The 2,194-nt window shown below is 44.4% G+C and overlaps 2 annotated features.

The window, feature by feature from the left end:
- Window positions 551-1,052: an enhancer, noted in NCBI's record as "H3K4me1 hESC enhancer chrX:148228003-148228504 (GRCh37/hg19 assembly coordinates)". NCBI's record gives its function as "activates a minimal SCP1, AML or CMV promoter by ChIP-STARR-seq in primed H9 embryonic stem cells {active_cell/tissue: H9 hESC(primed)}" and the evidence as "EXISTENCE:reporter gene assay evidence [ECO:0000049][PMID:30033119]".
- Window positions 1,053-1,552: an enhancer, noted in NCBI's record as "H3K4me1 hESC enhancer chrX:148228505-148229004 (GRCh37/hg19 assembly coordinates)". NCBI's record gives its function as "activates a minimal SCP1, AML or CMV promoter by ChIP-STARR-seq in naive and primed H9 embryonic stem cells {active_cell/tissue: H9 hESC(naive and primed)}" and the evidence as "EXISTENCE:reporter gene assay evidence [ECO:0000049][PMID:30033119]".

Raw genomic sequence — 2,194 nt, forward strand, 5'->3', positions numbered from 1 at the left:
GGGTTGTGGTCTGCTGAGTCATTGCTCTTTATTATAATTACAACTAATGAGGCTGTTGCTTTACAGGCAATTTTGTGGGCTTTCCTGCAGTTTTACTAGTTAGGAAGTAATTCATAACTATGAAGACTCTGCCTTCTTCCTAAATTTATGTGCCTAGGGAAGGGAGGTGTCTTATGTCAGAGGCGCCTAAGAAACTGCCATAGCAAAAGTCAGTCCCCATTCATTCCATGCAGCAAACATCCATTGACAGCTCCCTTGGGGTCAGGCCCTGGGGTGGGGGTGGGAAGTTGGAGAGGCGGCAGGGTTGAAGATGACATAATCCATGCCTTCACAGAGCTTGCAGTATCATGGTGGTAACAGACATGCAAACAGGTCATTCAAAAGTCGAAGGCAAAGCCAAGAGAGACCTGGAAAATCACCAGAAAGCACCTGGGATGCTGTTCAACTAAAAATCCCCAGATAAAAATGTCTTCAATCCAGAAAAAGAAGGCCAGGTCTTCTTATGCCATTGCCCTATTTAAAAAAAAAAAAAAAAAAAAAAAAAAAAAAACTTTCCACAGATACCCAGCAACTTAGAGAAAACAATTCAAACTTCAATTGTCACTTTACAAAACCTGGCTCCATCCTACCTTATAACCTTATCTCCTCTGGCCAAGGCTTCATTCTGCCCCTATGTTTTCTCACTGCTATACTGTTTCCCCTGTCTTGTGGGGTTTTAAAAATAATTTTTAAATAATTTTTATTGTGAAAATTATACAAGCTAGTGAAAATAAGTAAAACTGATGGTGGCAGCAGCCTATCTAGAGTGGCTGCTTTGAAGACGCCAGCAGCAGCGGGGAAGGCATGGCAAGGGCTATGCGCTCTGTGGAGCCAGTGGGTGCTGTAAACAGGTGATCCAAGTGGGAACCCCACCAAGTTGGCATGGCAGGAGCCCCTGCTCCCGGGTGCAGCTGTAGCCACCCAGCCATGGCTCTAGACCCAGGCATCCCTGCACTCTTAGGAGCCCAGGGAGTGCCTGCTCCTGCTCCCTGGCCTCTCCCTGCTCCTGGTGTCTGCTCCAGTGTGGAGCAAAGTTGTGGTAAACCCGGCTGAGTGTGCACATGCTTGGGGTGGCATTGACATGCTAGCCCTCTGCTGCCTTGGCCCCCTCCGGACTTTGGGAACTGACAAACACAGGAGGGCAGAGGGGGGCTGAGGGGGGCTTGGCATGGGTCTACAGGCACTCCTCAGCATGGAAAGCCTGGGCACCATGGGTGGCATGTTGATGGCAGCAGAGGCAGACAGGTTCCTGGGGGAAGGGGCAGGTCCCCAGTGAAACCTCACCTTCAAGCCAGGCCTGAAGCCTGGGGCCCGGGGGCCAGGCTGCCAGTTAAGGTGGAGTCTACCACATGGAGTGAGAATTTCATTGGCGCCTTTCAGACAATTGAATGGTGCTTTTTCAAGCCCACCCATGGCCACTCATGGACCAATCAGCATGCACTCCCTCCATTCTGAGCACATGAAAACCCCCAGACTCAGCTAGATATATTTCTGCTAGGTTTTCTAGTTTGTGTGCATAGAGGTGTTTATAATAGTCTCTGAAGTTTTTATTCGTATTTCTGTGGAGTCAGTGGTAATGCCCCTTTGTCATTTTTTGTAGTGTTTATTTGGATTTTCTCTTTTATTATTTATTAGTCTTGGTAGTGATCTATCAATCGTATTTATTTTTCAAAAATCAACTTTTGGTTGTGTTGTTCTTTTGTATGGCTTTTCTCATCTCCATTTTGTTCAGTTCAGCTGCGATTTGGGTTATTTCATTTTTCTGCTACCTTTGGTGTTGGTTTGCTCTTGTTTTTCTAGTTCCTCTAGGTATGATGTTAGGTTGTTAATCTGAAATCTTTCTAACTTGTTGATGTGGGCATTTAGCACTATAAACTTCCCTCTTAGCATTGCTTTAACTGTGTCGCAGAGATTCTGATATGTTTTATCTTTGTTTTTATTACTTTCAAAGAATTTCTTGGTTTCTGCCTTAATTTCATTGTTTACGCCAAAGTCACTGAGAAACAGATTATTTAATTTCCATTCTTTTTACTAATTTATATTTTTTTAGGTCTATGGTCTGAGACTGTGGTTGGCATAATTTTCTTTCTTTCCTTTTTTCAATTTGTTGAGAATTCCTTTATGGCCAAGCATCTGTCCAATTTGAAAGTATGCG

This window comes from Homo sapiens, chromosome X (assembly GCF_000001405.40).
Source record: "Homo sapiens chromosome X, GRCh38.p14 Primary Assembly".
Classification (NCBI taxonomy): Eukaryota; Metazoa; Chordata; class Mammalia; order Primates; family Hominidae; genus Homo; species Homo sapiens.